Raw genomic sequence first — 21,705 nt, forward strand, 5'->3', positions numbered from 1 at the left:
TGGCCCATCTATCCTCAATATAAATAAAAAGCTTTTACCACATAAACAAGGTCAGTTTGTTCTGTTTGAAAGATGGAGTAATGGAACTAACTGTAAGATATGCAATGTAAAATTTATTCCCATTTCACCTTTATATGAGTAGAAATGAAAGGGTACTCAACTAAAATATGCGTAACAATTAGGCTTTCTGTACTAGCCTTCAAATAAATATGTGTGTACTTATACAGATAATAGTGTAAATGTATGCTTTCTATAGAATGCACAGAAGAAAATATTTGATGTTTTTCTTCATGGCTTATTTTCATTATTAAGTATTTTACCATTTGATACATGAATCTGTACTTTGTTTTCAGGTAATTGCATATATCTAGTCTGCCAATGACAGCAATTTATCATTGCACAGAGTCAAAAATGAGATGTAATTTTATTGCTGCTAGTAGCTCAAAACAAGTCCTTTGGTCTGATTTATTTATTTTTTTTGAGACGGAGTCTCGCTTTGTCAACCAGGCTAGAGTGTAGTGGAGCGATCTAGGCTCACTGCAACCTCCGCCTCTCGGGTTCAAGCAATTCTCCTGCCTCAGACTCCCGAGTAGCTGGAATTACAGGGATGCACCACCACACCCAGCTAATTTTTGTGTTTTAGTAGAGATGGGATTTCACCATGTTGGCCAGGCTGGTCTCGAACTCCTGACCTCAAGTGATCTGCCTGCCTCAGCCTCCCAAAGTGTTGGGATTACAGGTGTGAGCCACCCCGCCCAGCCTGATAGGTAATATTAAGGGAATATTTCTCAACTTTAATTTCAGCCACACTATAGAAAATAGTCCCTTGGTTTCTGGAACATAATTGCATGTAGTCCATTTCCATACAGGATATTATCCATATCCTAATTTATATCCATATAAATTTAGGATTGGACTGGGTTACAAAATGAGAAGTAAAAAAAAACTTTTGAAATACTGGCAATTTATCTGCAGAAAAGGACACAAATATGTGCATTTTTTTCTTTTGTATCCCGAATGCACTAAATCATGAACAGTGTAGCTGCAACATTACCTGAAAATGAATTCTTGTGAATAATACTGTTCTTTATTTTTTATATTTTCCAGCTTGCATTACTAAAATTACCTACTTTTTAAACATTTAGACCTCAGAGATTATTATTGGTGTTAAACATGAAACGTCAGACTGAATATTTTATGAATGCATATTGTGTGAACATGAATTCATTCTACAAATTAGTTTTTAATTCTTTTTTTAAGATCTAATATTTAATAATACACTAATTTACTTTCCTTAGCACTTATAGAAGTACATGACTGCTTATTTCAAAAAATTCTAAATACCCTGAGCAGGTTAAGATAGTGTCCTAAGTAAAGAATTTCCTCAAGTCTGCTTTATGTGCCTCAGCCAGATTGGGAAAGACTGAGAAGTAAAGACACAGAAAGAATTGTTTATCTTCTTTTGCTTATATTTCCTGATTTGAGTCATCCAGAGGTGAAAGAGATTGCCTTTTCTGCAACAGAAAATAACTCAATAATGGCAAGTTGTGTAAAAGAACTAGTACGAAGCATTGAGCCAGTTTAACATACTGCCTAAAAACTTTTAAGTTAATAAAATCAAATCCAAATGCCAAACATTATCGTTGAAAGAAAATACATACAAATGACACATTATATTTGAGACTCTATGTCTCCCTAATTCAATGATTAGGACTTTAAGAAACTGTTCCTTAAAACATACAGTAAGATTTCCAATACCTGAGAATTTTAAATACCACTTCTTTATATTTAATAAATAGCTTAAAATTATAGCAAACTGGAATTCAGATTCTCATTTCTTTACCAAATTGGCCTCAATTTTTTTTAAATATAGTTGCTGTTCACCAGCTCTAAACAATCAACAAAAAATGCAGAACAAAAAGAAGTGGAGAGGAGTGACAAATCACAATTTGGTGGGAAAAGAGGAAAAGAATGAGAAAGCATTCGATATTCATTGCCCCAAAACAATGGAGACCTGTACACAGGCACCATGGTAATTACTTACATCTTCCCTATGTCCCACTAGTACATATTAATAATTTAGTTTCTATTACTAGTCACTTACCTACACAGAAGAAACTGATACATTTTGGAATTTATATGACTTAACTACATGGCTTTTAAGAAGTATCCTACTATAGTTTGACTGTCTGTCCCCTCCAAAACTCATGTTGCAATTTAGTTGCCACTGTAACAGTATTAAGAGATGGGACCTTTAACAGGTGAGTAGACCATGAGGGCTCCCCCCTCACTGGGGGACTTCTACCATTATAAGGGTGAGTTCAGCCACTCCTGTCCTCTCTTACCCTCCTGCCTTCACCATGTGATGACATAGCAAGAAGGCCTTCACAAGATGCCATGCCTTGATATTGGACTTCCCAGACTCCAGAAGTGTGAGCCAATAAATTTCTGTTCATTATACATTACCCAGTCTGTGATATTCTGATAAAAAAGCACAAAACAGAACATGTCCTTTGGTAAGTTATGAAACTGCACTCTATTCCAGGTTTCCCCTAGACAGTCTGTAATAGTCTGTTTTATATTGCTATAAAGAAATGCCTGAAGCTGAGTAATTTATTAAGAAAAGAGGTTTATTTAGCTCACAGTTCTACAGGTTGTAAAAGGAACATGACACCAACATCTGCCTCTGGTTAGAGCCTCAGGAAGCTTTCAATCACAGGGAAGGTGAAGTGGGAGCAGTTATGTCACACGGTGAGTGTGAGCAAGAGAGGTGCCATGCTCTTTTAAACAACAGCTCTTGTGTGAACTAACAGAGTGAGAACTCACACATTACCATGGGGACAGCACCAAACCATTCATAAGGGTTCCATCCCATGACCGAAACACCTCCACGAGGATCACATTTCAACACAAGATTTGGAGGGGACAAAGGTCCAAACTGTAGCACAGTCTCAACCCAGTTATTTCAATTATCTATTTCTAATAAGTAAACAAGTCACCCAATTACCATGGTGTGATCATAGCTCATTGGAGCCTCAACCTCCTGGGTTCAAGTGATCTTCCTGCCTCAGCCACTTGAGTAGCTGAGACTACAGGCATGCGTAACCATGCTCGGCTAATTTTTGTATTTTTTGTAGACAAGGTTTCACCATGTTGCCCAGGTTGGTGGTCTTGAACTCCTGGGCTCTAGCAATCCTCCTGCCTCAGCCTCCCAAAGTGTTGGGATTACAGGCATGAACCACCCTACCCGGCCTACAGCTACTCACCTTAATAAAACAAATATATTAGCTTAGGCAATGATTTTAATTTCATTCTATATTTGCAACTGTAGACATGCAAAGGGGTTATCCATACACAATCATGTGAATGTCAGCCTACCTTATTATATAGTAAAAGGCTAATATAAAGAATTCTCCATAGAAAGTGAGAAACTGTGTGAGTGGAACATTTTAAGTATTTGCCTTTACATCAGTTTAAAGATCTAGGGACACAATTTTAAAGAAGCACTGTAAGATTAAGGTGAGGATAATGACAACTGCATTATTTCTCTCTCCCCAATAAGAGACAGTTGGTGACTTAGTCCTTTTGTGCTGCTGTAACAAAATACCACAGGCTGAGTAATTTATAAAAACAATAGAAATTTATGCTGGGCATGGTGGCTTGCGCCTGTAATCTCAGCTACTCAAAAGGCTGAGACAAAGGGATTGCTTGAGGCCAGGTGTCCGAGGGCAGCTAAGACAACATAGCAAGACCCTGTCTCTAAAATAAATAAGTACGCCTTACAGTTCTGGATGCTGGGAAGTCAAGATGAAGGCATTAGCAGGTTTAGTGTCCGGTGATGGTTGCTCTCTGCTTACAAGATGGCACCCTGTTGCCACATCCTCCAGAGGGAGGAATACTGAGTCTTCTTCACATGGTGGATGAGACTGAAGAGCAAAATGGATCTAAGCCAGTTCCTTCCAGCCCCTTTTATAAGGCACTAATCCATACATAAGTGCAGAGCCCTCATGACTTAATCACTTCCCAATACTTTAAACAATTTCTTTAGATTATTTATAATGCCTAATACAACGTAAACCTTATATAAATAGTTATACTTTATTGTTTAGGGAATAATTACAAGAAAAAAAAAGTCTACCATGTTCAGTACAGGTGCAACCACACATTTTATTTTTTCTATATGTTTTCGATCCACAATTGGTTGAACCCACAGATGCAGAACCCACAGACATAGAGGGCCAATTTGTATAGAGAGGAAGGCAACCAGACCTAAGTGGTTAAGACACCAACTTAATTTAAAGCAAAGATCAAATGGTATAATTCAGATGTTTCTGTAGATAGTAAACATCCAGTCAGATAATACTACAGGCATACACTGTTTTATTGTACTTCATTGTACTATACTTCATATATATTGCATTTTTTACAAATCGAAGGTTTGTAGCAATCCCACACCTAGCAAGTGTATCAACTCCATTTTCCCAACAGCATATGCTCACTTCATGTATTCTGTCGCATTCTGGTAATTCTCCCAATATTCTGAACTTTTTCTTAACTGTTATTTGTGTTATAGCGATCTCAATCAGTGATCTTTGATGTTACTATTGTTTTGGAGGCACCATGAACTATGCCCATATAATATAGTGAACTTAATGGATACATGTGTATGTTCTGACTGCTCCACACATCTGCTGTTTCCTTTTCTCTCTCCTCAGGCCTTCCTATTTCGTGAAACAGCAACACTGAAATTAAACCAATCACTAGCCGTATAATGACCTCTAAGTATTCAAGTGAAAGGAAGAGTTGTACATCTCTCACTTTACATCAAAAGTTAGAAATGATTAAGCTTATTGAGGACAGCATGTTGACAGCTGAGGCAAACTAAAAGCTAGGCCTCTTGTGCCAAACAGCCAAGTTGCGAATGCAAAGAAAAAGTTCTTAAAAGAAACTAAAAGTACTACTCCAGTGAACACAGGAATAAGAAAGCAAAACAGCTTTACAGCAGATATGGAGTAAGTTTAAATGGTCTGGATAAAAGATCAAACCAGTTACAACATTCCCTTAAGCCAAAGCCTAATCCAGAGCGGGCCCTAACTCTCTTCGATTCTACGAAGGCTGAGAGAAACCGCAGAGGGAAACTGCAGTGGGAAACTGCAGTGGGAAGGTAGCAGAGGTTGGCTCATGAGGTTTAAGGAAAGAAGCCATCTCCATAACATAAAAGTGCAAGATGAAGCTGTAAGTTATCCAGAAGATCTAGATAAGATGGATGCACTAAACACTAAACAACAGATTTTCAGTGTACATAAAATAGCCTTATATTCAAAGAAGATGCCATCTAGGATTTTCATAGCTGTAGAACGGGAATCAATGCCTGGCTTCCAAGCTTCAAAGGACAGGCTATCTTGTTAGGGGTACTGCAGCTGGTGACTTAAAGTTGAAGCCAATGCTCATTTACAATTCCAAAAATCCTAGGGTCCTTAAGAATTTTGCTAAATGTACTCTGCCTGTGCTCTATAGACTCTATAGATAGAAAAACTATGCCTGGATGACAGCACATCTTTTAAAATCATGGTTTACTGAAGACGTTAAGTCCACCATTCAGTAAAAGATTTCTTTTGAAATGCTACTGATCATTAACAATGTACCTGGTCACCCAAGAACTCCAATGGAGATGTACAAGGAGTTGAATTTTTTTAATGCCTGCTAACACATCCATTCCATAGCCCATGGATCAAGGAATAGTTTTGACTTTCAAGTCTTATTATGCAAGAATATTTTTTGCAAGGCTATAGCTGTCACAGTGATTCCTCTGATGGATTTGGGCAAAGTAAACTGGAAACCTTCTGGAAAGGATTCACCATTTAAGATGTCATTAAGAACATTGATGATTTATGAGGGGGGTCAAAATACCAATATTAACAGGAGTTTGGGAGAAGTTGATTCCAACCCTCATTAATAATTTTGAGGTGTTTAAGACTTCACTGGAGGAAATAACTGAATATGTGGTAGAAATAGGAAGAGAACTAGAATTAGAAGTGGAACCTAAAGATGTGACTGAATTGCTGCAATCTCACGAAAAAACTTGAACAGATGAGGAGTTACTTCTTATGCATAAGCAAAAATGAGGTTTCTCAAGTAAAAGCTACTCATGGTGAAGACGCTATGAACACTGTTGAAATGATAACAAAGGACTTAGAATGCTACCTTCTTAGTTGATAAGGCAGTGGCAGGGTTTGAGAGGACTTGATCCCAAATTTCAAAGTTTTACAGAGAATAAAATGCTATCAAGTAGCATCACATGCTACACAGAAATCTTTGGTGAAAGGAAGAGCCAATTAATGTAGCACACTTCACTGCTATCTATTAGGAGAAACTGCCACTTTTAGCAACAACTACCCTGATTAGTCAGCGGCCAACAGCACTTGAGTCCAGACCTTCCAACAGCTAAAAGACTGTAACTCACTGCAGGCTCAAAGGGTCATTATTATTTTTTGAACAGTAAAGTATTCTCCAATTGAGATATGCACATTGGTTTTTTTAGACACAATGCTATTGCATACTTAATAAACTAAAGTAGCATGTAAACGTAACTTTTATATGCATTTGGAAACCAAAAAGTTTGTGTGACTCACTTGACTGCAATGGTCTGGATCCGAGGCCACAATATCTGTGAGATATACCTGTACCTGGGGTAAAGAAATGGACAGATTTTTACTTTGAGATGGAGTCTTGCTCTGCCACCCAGGCTGGAGTGCAATGGTGTGATCTCAGCTCATTGCAACCTCTGCCTCCCAGGTTCAAATAATTCTCCTGCCTCAGCCTCCCGAGTAGCTGGGATTACAGGCACGTGCCACCACGCTCGGCTAATTTTTGTATTTTTACTAGAGGCAGGGTTTCGTTATGTTGGCCAGGCTGGTCTCGAACTCCTGACCTCAGGTGATCCACCCACCTCAGCCTCCCAAAGCGCTGGGATTACAGGCATGAGCCACTGCACCCGGCCGAAATGGACAGGTTTTTAAATGCCATGATGATCAGAACAGCTTGATGACTAATAATAACATGTTACTGTTCCCATTCTTGTGGAAAAGGATTTGGGTTTTTCTTTTAGTGCTTTTAGATATAATCTCATGAACTCTTACAATATTCTAACAATCATAAAAAGACTGTGCTATAACCTGTGAAGGTAACTTCTAAAGAGAAGTTGCAAAAATATTTTTAAAAATAATGAAGAAAGTACTCATATGATAAAGTTAAGGTATACCAAGGCAGAGCCTCTCAACTTGTGTACTAGGAATGCTGCAAAGAGTCCCCTCAGCTCATGGGGAAGAAAAGTGGGGCCTTAGTGCAACCAGAGCGCATGGGCTTGTGCTAAGTGGTCTCCAGATTACTCCAATGTGCCATACAAATACTGTTTCCTAAGTGTGTAAAGGAATGTAAGATTGGGAAACATCTACTTAGTGGAAACTGCTAATAAGAAAACCAGAAGAACTAGGTTCAACTCCTTGTCAACTCACTAGCTGAGTGATCTTAGTTAAATTATTTTAACCTCTTTGGAACACTTAGGCTCCTCATTTACTAAATGAAAACTGGAGTATTTCAATGGTCTCTTCTAGTTCTAAAACTCATAATTTCCCTTACATTGACACTTCATAATATAAAGCAGTAGTCATTACTCATTTAATTAAAAACTCTTAATTCAGATATTCAATAACTATTTGTTATTTATGGAACCTAGTCTGCATGTGAGGATCTGGAAAACAAATATGGAAGACAAAATCCCTAAATAGATCTTATTGTGAATAATCTTTGCATCCCTTTTAGGAGGTTAAATAGTAAAGCCTTCTGAACAGTGCCCAAATAAAGGAATTATTTTGCACAGATAATGGAAGCTTGCCTATGCATAATAAATATTTTTTACTTTAGCTATAATCAGAGCTTCTACCAATATATAAGAATTTTCTCCTCTATATCCCTCAACTGCTTTAAAAAGAAAAATTATGGTCATTTAAACTTACTCACAAATTACATTTATAATTAAAATTGATTTCCAAAGTATAAATTTATAAAAATAGTTTAAAGACTCTCAAAAGGACTTCATCTTATATTCAGATTATAGCAAGAAAATCAATGTGCTCCATATATTTTACCCATGATGAAACTTGTCCCATATCCATTACTATATATATATATATATAGTTTAACTGGGTGGGGTTGGGAGGGAGAAGGCATGAATTCAAAATTTTAATTAAATATTACATAATTTAATGTTCTCCCAAGAATTTGAGCTGACATTTTCATATGAATACAATTTCACAAAGGTTACAAATATATATCAACTTACAACAGAAGGAATCATTTAGTATTTTACAGTGTTTTTAAAAATCTAGCTCCATAATCACTCTTGAAAAAAAAAAATCCTTACCACATAATATGAAAAGTCCACATTTCTCTGGAAATGCATAGTCACCTAATAGTAAGGTCCAAAATGAGAATTACTATCTCCAGAAGAGGGTGGAGGAGGCAGTGGTGGAGGGGGAGGGGGTGGGGGTAGGGAGTATGGTAAGTTAAGTAATGGATGAGCAGCCATGTTTGGTGTAGCCCAACCCATGTTTACAGGTGGGGGTGGTGGTGGGGGTGGAGGGCGGAGGGGAAAATTATGCATGTCAAACACTGGAAGAGGAAAGGGGTATTGTGGCATAATGGGATTATTTTGTCTCTGAGAAGGAAATCCTGAAGTCTCCTGAGATACCATATGTTCTGAGTTATAGAAATGCTGAGGTGGAGGCCTGCCATGGCAAGATCGAGGGTATCTGGCCCTGGAAAATCCTCGTGTGAATTCTCTGTTACGATATCCTTTTGCATGCTCTGAAGCAGAGCTATGAGCATTCCAATTCTGATGTACTTCAGTAAAATCTTCACCTTTGAGTGAGGGGAGGGAAAACATAAAAAGGAAAATAAGTTTAATATATCAAAAAGCATTGTTTGAAATTTCAATTATGATTTTTATTATCCAGTATATCTTGTGGCAGTTAAAAAAGTGTAAGACATAAAATGGTAAATTTGAAATGAACTGAAAAGACAAAACTTAATGCCAAAGAAAGAGAACCCAGCAAGTCAGAAAACACTTAGATGATAACCATTCTACTCTAGCCAAACACCACAGAAGAAAATGTGGCACCATCCCTACACACTCTCAAAGGCTGAGTACAGATCCTAGACTTCTATCCTTGACAGGCAGTAATGAGGTACTCCAACCCTTCCACCACAGTAGCATCAGGAACAGGCTGAACAGGGTGCCAGTAACAAGCCTCCCTGCAAACAATGAACATCACATGGGGAACCTGAACTTCCACCTCCACTGGCGGCAACCCAGTGTTCTTCCCTCTTTTACACTGGGGCAATGTCAGAGAAGATGGAGTAGAGTTAGGATTTTTGTCCCCAACCAGTGATAACAAGGCCATCCTCCACTGGTGTCAGTGCATACCATATGGGGAGGAGTGACAAAGTACTCCTGTCCCTACCAGGCATAAGACCTCGTGGGATGTCAGAACTTCTACCCTCATCCAGCAGTAACAAGGCACCCCTTGGCCAAAGGTGTCAACAGAGGCTAAGAGGAATACCTAGACTTCAATCTACCCTGTTCCTTTCGCTGCCAGAGTAGCATTTTTAAAAAGACAAAGAAACAATCACAACAAACCCAGCTAAATCAGAAGATTTACATAAGATCCATGGTCTTGTAATATAATACTCAATATACCCAGGTTGCAATAAAAGAAAATTGCTCATCACAAAAAGAACCAGGAAGACTTCAAATTCAATGAAAAAAATAAATCAAGCAAGGGTGTCACAAAGATGTTAGAATTATGAAAGGTATTAAAGCAGTCATAAAAATGCTTCAACAAGATATTATGAACATTCTAAAAAATTAAAATTACAAAGTTTTAGGAAAAAAAGAAGATATAAAATAAAGAACAAATTGCAATTTTAGAACTGAACATTACAATAACCAAAATTAAAAACTCAATGGAACAATATTGAAGGAGAAGAACAAAGCTGGAGGACGGAAACTACCCAACTTCAAGACGTATTATAAAGTTTAAGTAATCACAGCAGTGTGGTACTGGTGAAAGGACACACAAATAAATCAATGGGACAAAATAGAAGGTACAAAAATAGACCCACATAAACATACAAAAATAGACCCACATAAACATAATAAACGGATATTTAACGAAGGAGCAAAAGCAATACAACAGAGCATAAGTAGTGTTTTCAACAAATGGGGCTGGAACACCTGGACATCCACATGCAAAAAGAATAAATCTAGACAATAACCTTACACCGTTCACAAGAATTAATTCAAAATGGACCACAGACCTCAATGTAAAATGCAGAATTACAAAATTCCTAAAAGATAACATAGAAGAAAATTTAGACAACCTTGGGTTGATAATGACTCTTTTTTTAGAGACGGAGTCTCGCTCTGTAGCCCTGGCTGGAGTGCAGTGGCACGATCTCAGCTCACTGCAACCTCCGCTGCCCGGGTCCCAGCTGACGCAATTCTCCTGCCTCAGCCTCCCAAGTAGGAATGCGCCACCATGCCCAGCTAATTTTTGTATTTTTAGTAGAGATGGGGTTTCACCATGTTGACCAGGCTGGTCTTGAACTCCTGACTTCCTGATCTGCCTGCCTCGGCCTCCCAAAGTGCTGGGATTACAGGCATTGGGCCACTGCGCTCGGCCAATAATGACTTTTTAGATAATGACTTCTTAGATAGGACATCAAAGGCATGACCCATGAAAGAAATAATCAATATGCTGAATTTCATTAAACTTAACAATTTCTGCTCCACGAAAGATACTATCAGGAGAATGAAAGAAAAAAGCTCAGAAGTTCAAGGTTACAGTGAGCTATGATTGTACCACTGCATTCTAGCCTGGGCAACAGAGCAAGAATATCTCAAAAAACAGACAAAAACAAAAACAAAAACAAAAAAACCTCAGCAAGACATTTGTTGATGTAGAGAAGATTCTAAAATTTATACTGAAAGGTAAAGGACCTAGAATACCGATTATAATTTTGAAAAAGAGAAATAAAGTAGGAGTTATCACTCCACGCAATTTTAAGACTAACCTCACATTCTATACAAAATTTAACTCAAAATGAATCACAAGTGTACAATTTAAAACAGAAGACTACAAAACTTTTAGGGAAAAAATAGAAGAAAATCATTAGGATCTAAAGCTAAGCAGGAAGTTCTCAGATTCCATAAACAAAATTGATAAATTAGTTTTCCTCAAAACTAAAAACTTTAGTATTGCAAAAGGCCATCTTAAAAGAAGGAAAAGACTACAGACTAGAACAAATCATGAACGAACCAAATATTTGACAGAAAGCTAGTATCTAAAATATACATTTTTAAATTCTCGTAACTCGACAGTAAAAATCCAGCAATACAATTTAAAAGTTGGCAAAAGATAATGAACTGACATATCACTGAAGATACCGATAGTAAATGAACACATGGAAAGATGTTCAATGCCATTAGCCATTAGGAAAATGCAAATTAAAACCACAATTATATTAGCACTACAAACCTAGCAGAATGGCCAAAATTAAAAACAGTGATAACACCAAATGCTGGAGAAAATGCAAAGAAATTGTCACTCATACATCGCTGATAAAAATGTAAAATGGTATAGCCATGCTGAAGAACAGTATGGTAGTTTCTTAGGAAACTAAACATGTAATGCAACTATTATACAACCAAGCAATTATACTCTTGGGCATTTATTCCAGAAAAATGAAAACCTCTTTTCACAAAAAACCTGTATATAAATATTTATAGCTGCTTTATTCCTAATAACCCCAAAATGGAAACAACCTAGATGTCCTTCAATGGATGAATGGTTAGGTAATCTGGTAAATTCATGCCATGAAATGTTACTCTGTAATGAAGAGGAACAAACTATTATTGATACATGCAATAATGTGGGTGGATGCACAGATACTACGCTCAGTGGCAAAAGCCTTTCCCTAATCGTACTACAGTGTATAACTTCACTTATATAACTTTCTGGATATGACAAAATATATGAAAATGGAGAACACATTAATGGTTGCCATGAGTGAAGGAGGGGCTGAGAGGTAAGGACGTGGCTGTGACTATAAAGAGGCAACTGGGTAGCTCTCTGGTGATGGAAATGTTGTATAGCTTCATTGTATAACTGTCAATATCCTGGCTGGGACAGTGTTCCATATATAGTTATGCAAGATGTTGCAACTGGGGGAAACTGAATAAAGGGCATACAGCACCTCTCCTATTATTTTTACAACTGTATGTGAATCTATGGTTATCTCAGAAAGTTTAATTTTCAAAAAAGGTAAAGGGAATGCATGTTTAAAAATAAGACACTGTGATTTAGGGGTTCATCAAGTACTTGATCATAAAATCCTAAAAATGGAAGCAAATAGGTATCTTAAGAAAAAAGTGCTGACAAGCACGAGTAACAAGGTTTAGTCTCTCTGTTACCCCAGGAAGCCATTTTTACTGCTTAAGCTCATAAAACTACCACACCTCCTGCTATGTAATGGCTCTAAATGTTAGCAGGATGCTAGGAGGTAAACAGAGAGAACCCAGATGTTTCCTTCAGTTTTATTATTGATAAACTTATATAGATGTAAATGAAGATAAAGAACGAGTATATATATTGTATTCACTCACCAGGCTCATTAAATTCAGATTTGAGTTTTTTCCGGCCTTGAATCTGAGATTTTTTCCTCTGTTTGGCTTCCTTCTCTTTTTCATCATCACTAAAATCTAAGGCCTTGCAGAGAAAAGTATATAATAGGTTTATGTTACATGAATTTGCCAATTCAATAGTACATACTTGGAGGTGAAGAAAATAAGCCTATTATGCATCAATGACTCTAAAAAAAGTTGTCTTTTTGATACTTAATATTTTCTATATCTGAATTAGACATGGTATAAAAATAAAGCATTTTTTGATAAATGCTTAATGACTTTAATTAACACAGGCCAGTAATCAGCCTTCAGATATGAGTCTGACTTCCAGTTTAGACTTAAAATTCATCATAGTATCAGATGCAAAAGGGTGCCAAAGGTAAGAGTATCAAGGACTAAGCAAATTATATATATTATCAGAGCCAATAAAAAACAGAAGACAATGTTCCATAATTCATTCATTCAAAATACACACCCAAGCACTGTTCTAAACATTTCACAGGTTCATTCTTTACAGGTTTACCATCTTATTTTTTAAATATAATTTTAGGTACAGAGCAAGAGTTATAAATAAATAAGGCAAAATAAGGGTATACAAATCATGGGGAAGCTATTTAGATAAAACCATAGGCAAAAGCTTTTTTGTGTGTGTGTGTGCAGTGGTGCAATCTCAGCTCACTGCAACCTCTGCCTCCCAAGTTCAAGCGATTCTCCTGCCTTAGCCTCCTGAGTAGCTGGGATTACAGGCGCACGCCACCATGCCCAACTAATTTTTGTATTTTTAGTTTGAGGCCAGCCTGATCAACATGGCAAAGGCTTTTATAAGCAGATACATGAATGATCCAACTCCTAAGAGGAAATTATTTAAAAATTAAAGGTGGTAAAACTCACATTAACTAATTATTAGGATTCATTGTTATAGTCCACCAAGAAAACCAAGATTATGAGCTATATATATTATGACTGTCATCTATAGTTCAGGCATTTTATTATTCTATTAATTATTCTATTAATTTATTATTCTATTAATGCCAGAAAACGTCTATTATGTTTCATACAAAAAATATATGAAAGCAGGCCCACCATATATGGATGGATACACATTTAAAAAGAAGAAATAAAATGTATATGAAAGTCTTTGTATGTAATTTTCAGTATGGCTTCACTGGAATACATTCTAGATCAAATCCTCCATGAACCAGGAATCCATACACTTCAGATTCTGAAATCTAATTTGAAAACATGAACTAATTGTATGCCTTCCAATGCATAATTTCTTATTACTGATCTTAATACGATAAGATTTTAAAACTCAGGTTAAATCTGGTATCTGAAAGACACTAGAAAGTATGGAGATCAGATAGAAGACTCCTTTTTCTGAGAAAACAGATTAAATGTACAATGAACAAGTGCTACGACTTAATGCTATGTTATTATAGTGCTGGATAAAGAGAAAAAAGGAAAAGATAGACTTCTTGGTATGGATAACCCAACAGAAATACCTGAATGAGTTAGCTATGAAAATAAAGGGAATTTTCAGAAAATGTGAACAATACACACAGAGGCATGATAGAACAGTATATACAAAAAAGAAAAATGGTTCTGAAAGGCAAAGTGAAAGCTGCTGCTTCTTACATGGCAAAACCAGAAAAAATAAAATTGGAGAAGCTTACAAAGAACCTTATTGTGCCATTTTAAATAATTGAACATCATCTTAAGAGCAGGAGGGAGGAAGTAAGGATTTTAATTGGGAATAGTTTATTTCAGAGAGATTACTCTGGTAGTATTTTGCTATCACTCCTAAAATCAGAGAAAAATTCATGTTTCTTATATGCAAATTAATTCAAATTTCCATTCATTAAATACATTTATTCAACCATAAAGTATACGGTGGCATATTAAAAATGGCTATGAAGATGAACATGATACAACCGTAGGTAATTTTTAGGTCCTTTATGCAGCCCAACATTTCATAGCACATAATTTCTCTTATTTTCCTTTATGCAAGCTTTCTATTTTCACATCACGCAATGTTTCTCCTTTTTCTCTTTTTAAGTTTAAACCTCACAAATTTCTAATTTTAATCTATGATCAATACCAGGCAATAATTCTAGACTACAAAGTTTCACCAACAAATATTACAAAATTAAATCCCAAGATACTTAATGATCCAGTTCAAGCTACCTGGAAAAAACAAACACCATGAACTAGGTGAGATGTAATTTTGCAATTAACCTAGTCAAACCAATTTTACAAATAACTCGCATTGTTGTAATTGGTAACTTCAATGCTTAGGTCCGAAACAAGAGGGATTCATTAGAATATCTGGATTTTGGCCAGGTGCGGTGGCTCACGCCTGAAATCTCAGCACTTTGAGAGGCAGAGAGGGGTGGATTACTGGAGGTCAGGAGTTCAAGACTAGCCTGGACAACATTGTGAAACCCCGTCTCTAATAAAAATACAAAATTAGCTGGGCGTGGTGGCATGCGCCTGTAATCTCAGCTACTCAGGAGGCTGAGGCAGGAGAATTGCTTGAACCCGGAGGCAGAGTTTGCGGTGAGCTGAGACCGTGCCACTGCATTGCAGCCTGGGCAGAAAGAGCAAAACTCCATCCCCTACCCAAAAAAAGAAAAAAAGAATATCTGGATTTTAAAAGAAATATGATTTGAGATGTTTATGAATCTCTAAACACGTTTAAAACATGTAATTCCAGTAATAAGATGCTATAGATACTCTAAAACTTAATTCAGAACATTAAGTGAATATTCAGAGCCTTAACTGAAATCACATAAATACATAACATTAATTAGAAAACATAATTCCATTTCAATTCAGATACTAAGCAAGGATCATTCACTGGTTAAGTGATTCATACCTGTATAGAACCCTCCAAGTGGGCATAAACCTGATTCATACCTCAGTAAAATTAGAAACACAGATCATGATTTACGATTGCTTTAAACATCTAAAATGGCCAAGGTTAAATCGGTAAGTATCAAAAATCTGTAATACTGGCTGGGCAAGGGGCTCATGCCTGTAATCCCAGCACTTTGGGGAGCCAAGGCAGAAGCTTGCTTGAGGGCTGGAGAATCACTTGAGGCCAAGAGCTTGAGACCAGCCTGGGCAACACACTGAGACCCCCATGTCTATATTTGTTAAAAAAAAAAAAAACAAAAAAAAAACTGTAATACTGAGAAAACTTCATAAGAACTGCTGAGCAAGCTTTAAAAACTCTCATGTATAATTTTTACTTATAAAAATATTTATATACATTTTTATTTTATACTGTATAAATACATGCTATTTTTAAGAAATGAATATATTCATTGTTGTAATTCAAAAAAAAAACCCCTCAAGATAATCTGCTTAAACACTTTCATGGAATGTTAACCAAGTAATCCTATTAAATCATTAACTTATTTACATATTATTCCTAAATTTACTTCACATCTCTAGGAAGACTAGATTATCAAGTCACCTTGGGGCATAAAACTATTGTTTTGCTGACATAGATACAAAAAGAAAATCAAGGTCTCTTTTTAGAAAGGTAGTTATATCGTAAAAAGTAGAGAGGTAGGTAGCTTCCAATGATCTTGTGCTTCCAATGATTCTGTACTTCCAAAAGAAGGACAGCTATTAAAAGCACCATGTCTTCATGTCCCATATGGTGTATTTACTAAACTCAATTAAATTTTTAAAAAATAATGACAGCCTGCCTTTATCAGACATCAACAAAGTTGACAAAAATAGTAAACTACAATGTAAATGATAAGGTGATAATTATTAAAATACAACTAAATGTAACTGAAAAAAGTTTTTTTCCTAAATGATCAATCAAAACCTTTCACTGAAAGGTATGAAATAGTCATCTAGGACGGTGAGAGAATACATGCGCTAGGACAGGATAAGGCAGTATGGCTGCTAGCCAGTATTAATGACTTCCCTAACAGCAAGAATGATAAAATTTATAAGATTAAGTCCTGCCCTACTTTATAAAATGTTGCATAAAAAGACTTATACTTACCTCTGGTGGTGGTTCCTGATCATTCTTCCATGATGCATCTGATCCCTTATCCCTGAGTGGGGTGGGGATGGGAGTCAAAAAAGTATTCATCACAATTCTATTAAGTGCTCATAACTTAAAAGTACAGAAAATAATAAAGTAAAGGACATGAGTTCAACCTTTAATTTTGCAATACAGTTATGTGTCTTTTACCTTATTTCAAAAGATGTGGGAAGCTCCTAAGAAAAACACAAAAGTTGAGCAAGTAGAAATATTAGGATTAGGGAACTGGAATGAGAAGCCAAGGCTATGGTGTGCAGTGGAAAGCAGATGGACAGCTCTTTTGATTTTTGTTTTCATAATATTTGCAGTTTTCACAAAACTCAGTTTAAAAAAAATGCTTATTTCACGCCAACTGTAGATCAGAAGTTGTTCCATGTGCGAAGGACATAAAAATGACTATGAGGCATTCCCTTTTCACAGATTTTACAGGTTTAATGGCAGAGATATCAATATGAATTATTTTCTCCTCAGTTTACCTGAGGAATGTCAGCAATCCTCTATGAGTAACCAAGGCTTATTCCAACACTGATTCTCAAAGCAGTGAGGGTCAAACAAAGGCTAACTATGAATAGTTGGAGGAAGAGGAAGAGAAGCTGCTTTAAAGATTCTGAAGGACAATATAATGACTGGCATGTGTGAAATGTGTAATTGCAGCTGAAAATCAACAACTTTTGGTGGAGAGTTTTACACTTTACATCCAACAAAAGTACAGATATCTATTATGAGCAGTATAATTTGTGAAAGCTCATTTTTAATCTTTTTAATTTTGTTAATTTCATAGTTTCAGCTACTATTTTGTTATTCCATTATGTTAAAATATCACAAAGTAAAATATTACAAAGTATTAGGACTAGATGTCCTTATTGTTTTAAACTAGATCTCAAAAATAAATGAGATTCCCAGGAATTAAGGCCATTAAAATCAATGTACAGATGTCAGTTTGCTGGCACAACATGAAAGTTATTAAGTTTGCTTTAAATTTTTGATTCGGAACTTTGACATTATATATGAGCCATTATCAATGGCTTTTCCATCACTTAAAAGAAAAAAGCATTTCCTCAATTGTCATTTCACACATGGGCCTTAAATATATCTCTGGTATTCCTTTCTGCACATATGACATCTCATGATCTGGACTGCTGTTAGCCTGGAATCACAGACATAAATGGGAAAAATTCCCCAACTAGTGCGTCTATTACAAAAAATCAAAATCTACTAAAGGAAAGATCAAGCAACATTTCAAAAGGCACTTTTAACAAGACAGTAAGTACATGAGAAACTAAGATCAAAATAGCCTCATTAGAGAACAGTAAGCTGGAAAGGAGCTGAACTTCTCTACCTCAAAGACAAAGTACTCCACCAAGTTCCCATGACAGATGCCAAAATGAGGTCTAGAATACAACAGTTTTCCTGGGAGAGGGAGGTTTCTGCAATATAGGTCTAATTTCCCAATTCACTGATTTACTACTGCTTCTTAATAGAAGAACTGCAAATCAAAACCAAAGACTGAGTCTATTATCTAAAATCTATTTAAAAACCATCTTCAGAAAACCTCTTCAAATTTATCTGTTTTAAGCTAAAATACTCTATTTGTTAAAAAGCTAAATATATGGCATATCCACAGCAGTATCTTTATATTCAAAGCAGGATGAAATGCTAAATATTTAAAGCATTTTAGAACATATTAATATCTTGAAGACTTTATGTGTATTTAATTCATCTTTCTTGTCAGTGTTATTTAAGAAAATAACCTTATGCAATGTGAAGAATAACTTAGGCAAAATATTCCTCCAGATCTTTATGTAGATTCTTAAACATGAGTTAAATCAATTATCAGGATCAAAATTTTCATCTCTGAAATAAATGAAATTTGGTGACTTGAGACTTGATTTAACATGTAAGTGGTATAAGTAATCTTCTTATGCCATGCAACTGGGGTTGGTACCTTTGACATAATACCAAAGTTACTCAGTGACCAAAGTTCCTTTGTTTTCCTGCAAAAACAACATCTATAAAAATGTATCGCCTAGGTTTTAAGTCTCCAATAAAAGAAGAGCTAGAACTAAAAGGAACTTCTGTGTCAAACTGAGTGCAAAGTCTTTCTGGATTTAACCTTCCCCCAGTCTTTGGCAGTCTTTTCTTCCACTCCCAATTTGAAAATATTTTTAGTGGCTCATATTCATTACATCATTCGAAAGCATTCAAGTTATTTTTATTAAAAAAAAATCTTAAATTCATATGCTATTTGCTGATATAAAAAATTAAATAACATAATTATAACAAGTTTAGCTGATACAAACAGCTCTACAACTAACAGCTGGCAACAGCTAACATTTGAAAAATATTCAACCAATGGGAGCACAAATATAAAAAAATATTGCGGTCACATGCCACAGAAATCACTTAGCATTATTGATAGACAAAATGGAGAGCACTGGTTTGTTGGTTAGGTCAACTCCATACACCGTAACTTTCTACACAATTTTTCAGGGACACGTGTTAGTTGTCTCTTCTACAAACTTAAAATTTATAAGCAAAATAAAGAGATAACACTCATTTTTTTTCTCTTGAAAACTATTTTAAAGTTTTATTGAAGAGCAAGGCCCCTAAATAGAATCCAAAGAGAATTTTACTTAACTGAAAAAAAAGTTATTAAGAAATGATAATAATATTAGTACTAATACTAAAATAGTAAGTACATTAAAGAATGTACATAATGGAAAAAACACTGAACTAGAATCAGAAAGTGTACATGGCTCAAATGTGCTCTTAATGGCTGATCATCTCATTTTTTACAAAAGATATGAATTCTACGTACAAAATCTGAAAATAAATTGTAGGCTTCAAAGATATTATTAGGAAGATAAATGAACTCTTTGCAAGACACACACAATATAACTGTAAGAAATTACATCACTGAGAATTATTCTTAAAATATAAACGTTAGGTAAGTGAAGAACAACATGCCGGTAAAGTACTTACTGTTTTAGTTTTTCTGTGAATATATATTGAGTGAAATCTTTCATTGATGGAGCAAAATACATAGTCTCCTTTATTTTAATACCTTTACTCTCAATGTGATCTGAAGAATTAAACCGTAACACATAAAATGGATGTGCAACAGGTCCAAATATCTCGAATATCTGTAATAGAAACATAAAGGCCTCTTTTAACATGTAAAATAACTATTTGAAAAGTCAGCAGTGTTTTCTTTTAAAAATCCCACTGATAATTGCCAGAACAAGGTAATTTTGTCAGTGTTAGGGCAATAAAATAATTTTTTAGTTATATTTATGTCATTTTTACATATTCAGTCTTCATATATTGATTAAAATGCACTCGCTCATTCCAGATTTCCCTTCTATGAATGTGAAACAATAGTAACAAGTTTGTTCCTCACCAAATTCAAATCATTTTGATGGTACCAACTCGATGCAAATTATGATTTTTTTAAATTATTGCTCATTTAACTTGTAAAGTACACAGAAAAGGATTATAATTGGTAACTTTTGAGAAAACTGTATACATTTGGAATCATCAGATGGGAAATATAAAAGCAAGCTTCTGACTTCAATAGGAGTTAAATCACTTTTGCTGTTTCCACAGTGTTAGGAATTTTGTAAAATTACAGACTTTTTCTAATTTAACAACTAATAAAGTAGAAGTTATTTATGTTTAAAAAACACAAAGATGGTGCAGCCTTTAACATTTAACTAAAAGAACTGCTTTTAGCAGAACCACATATTTTACTTCTGAAAACGTTTTAAGAATAATGAAAGGAAACTTCTTGGTTTCAAATTGTACTTTCTTCTCAAAATACGTGAATTAAAAAATATATTTTCTGGCTGGGCGCAGTGGCTCACGCCTGTAATCCCAGCACTTTAGGAGGTGAGGCGGGCGGATCACCTGAGGTCAGGGGTTCAAGACCAGCCTGGCCAACATAGTGAAACTCTGTCTCTACTAAAAATACAAAAATTAGCCGGGTGTGGTGGCAGGCACCTGTAATCCCAGCCACTCAGGGGCTGAGGCAAGAGAATCACTTCAACCCAGGAGGCAGAGGTTGCAGTGAACCGAGATTGTGCCATCGCACTACAGCCTGGGGGACAAAAGCGAGATAATATATGTATATTATAGAGATAAGACCATGATCAATGCCAGTATAGATTTTTCCAGTCTTTTTTCTATAATACGTTATTTTTTTCTTTAAGACCATACTGTAGTTTTGTATACTGCCCCCTTTTAAAAACCTAAAGTTGTTCCATGTTATATTCTTTGTAAGTATAATTTTAGCTATCATAAAACACCCCTTTACAGACTCAGGACAACTTACTTAACTTCTTTCTTATTGTAGGACATTTAGGCAGCTTCCAATTTGTTCAACATAATACATGATGCCATGATAAACATATATAAATCACTATACTTCAGACTTCCTAAAAATTGATTTGTAAGGAGTGGAGGTATTGAAGCTGAAAGTACGATAATTAACACTAAGGCATAAAAGTTTTAATGGAAATTACTAAATAGCTTTCTAAATAGCTTGGACCAATTTATACCAACTGCATTGAACATGGCTGTTTTATCACATCCTCAGTTCTTGATTTTTGATAGTAAATGCTCTTCACATTTTATGATTTCAGTACAGCACTGAATCTTTCATTAATTTTCATTAAGGCGTAAAACAGCTCACCTATCAGGGCACCACCATTCTGAAGATATGTGTACTCTAAAAAGAAGTAGTGACATTAAAAACTATTAAAATGCCAATGTATTATGAAATAACACTAATAGCATCACAAATTTAAAGCTTTAAAAAAGTGTAAAAGCAAAAAACTTTAAGAAAATAGCAAGACATCTGCTTTGAAAAGGTTTAGATAAATCCAGTAGACCTCGT

At 35.5% G+C, this 21,705-nt stretch overlaps 1 protein-coding gene across 9 annotated transcripts in view; it reads right to left on the reverse strand.

The window, feature by feature from the left end:
• The window catches only part of NAF1 (nuclear assembly factor 1 ribonucleoprotein), a 62,962-nt gene that overhangs the window by 16,501 nt on the left and 24,756 nt on the right, over positions 1-21,705 (reverse strand). For 4 of the 9 annotated variants that reach the window (XR_938799.4, XR_938798.4, XR_001741350.3 and 1 more), the window contains exons 5-9: positions 19,794-19,954; positions 16,770-16,821; positions 12,725-12,827; positions 8,423-8,919; positions 6,633-6,686 (exon numbers count right to left, since the gene is read on the reverse strand). Coding sequence is in view for 5 of the 9 variants with exons in the window: in XM_011532410.4 (XP_011530712.1) it covers positions 8,468-8,919; positions 12,725-12,827; positions 16,770-16,821; positions 19,794-19,954 (768 nt within the window). In the remaining 4 variants the exon portion in view is untranslated. Of the gene's footprint in view, positions 1-4,147; positions 6,687-8,239; positions 8,920-12,724; positions 12,828-16,769; positions 16,822-19,793; positions 19,955-21,705 lie in introns of those variants that run through there. The other 5 variants (NM_138386.3, XM_047416407.1, XM_047416408.1 and 2 more) reach the window with 3 other exon arrangements.

Source organism: Homo sapiens, chromosome 4 (genome assembly GCF_000001405.40).
Source record: "Homo sapiens chromosome 4, GRCh38.p14 Primary Assembly".
In the NCBI taxonomy this organism is placed as follows: domain Eukaryota; kingdom Metazoa; phylum Chordata; class Mammalia; order Primates; family Hominidae; genus Homo; species Homo sapiens.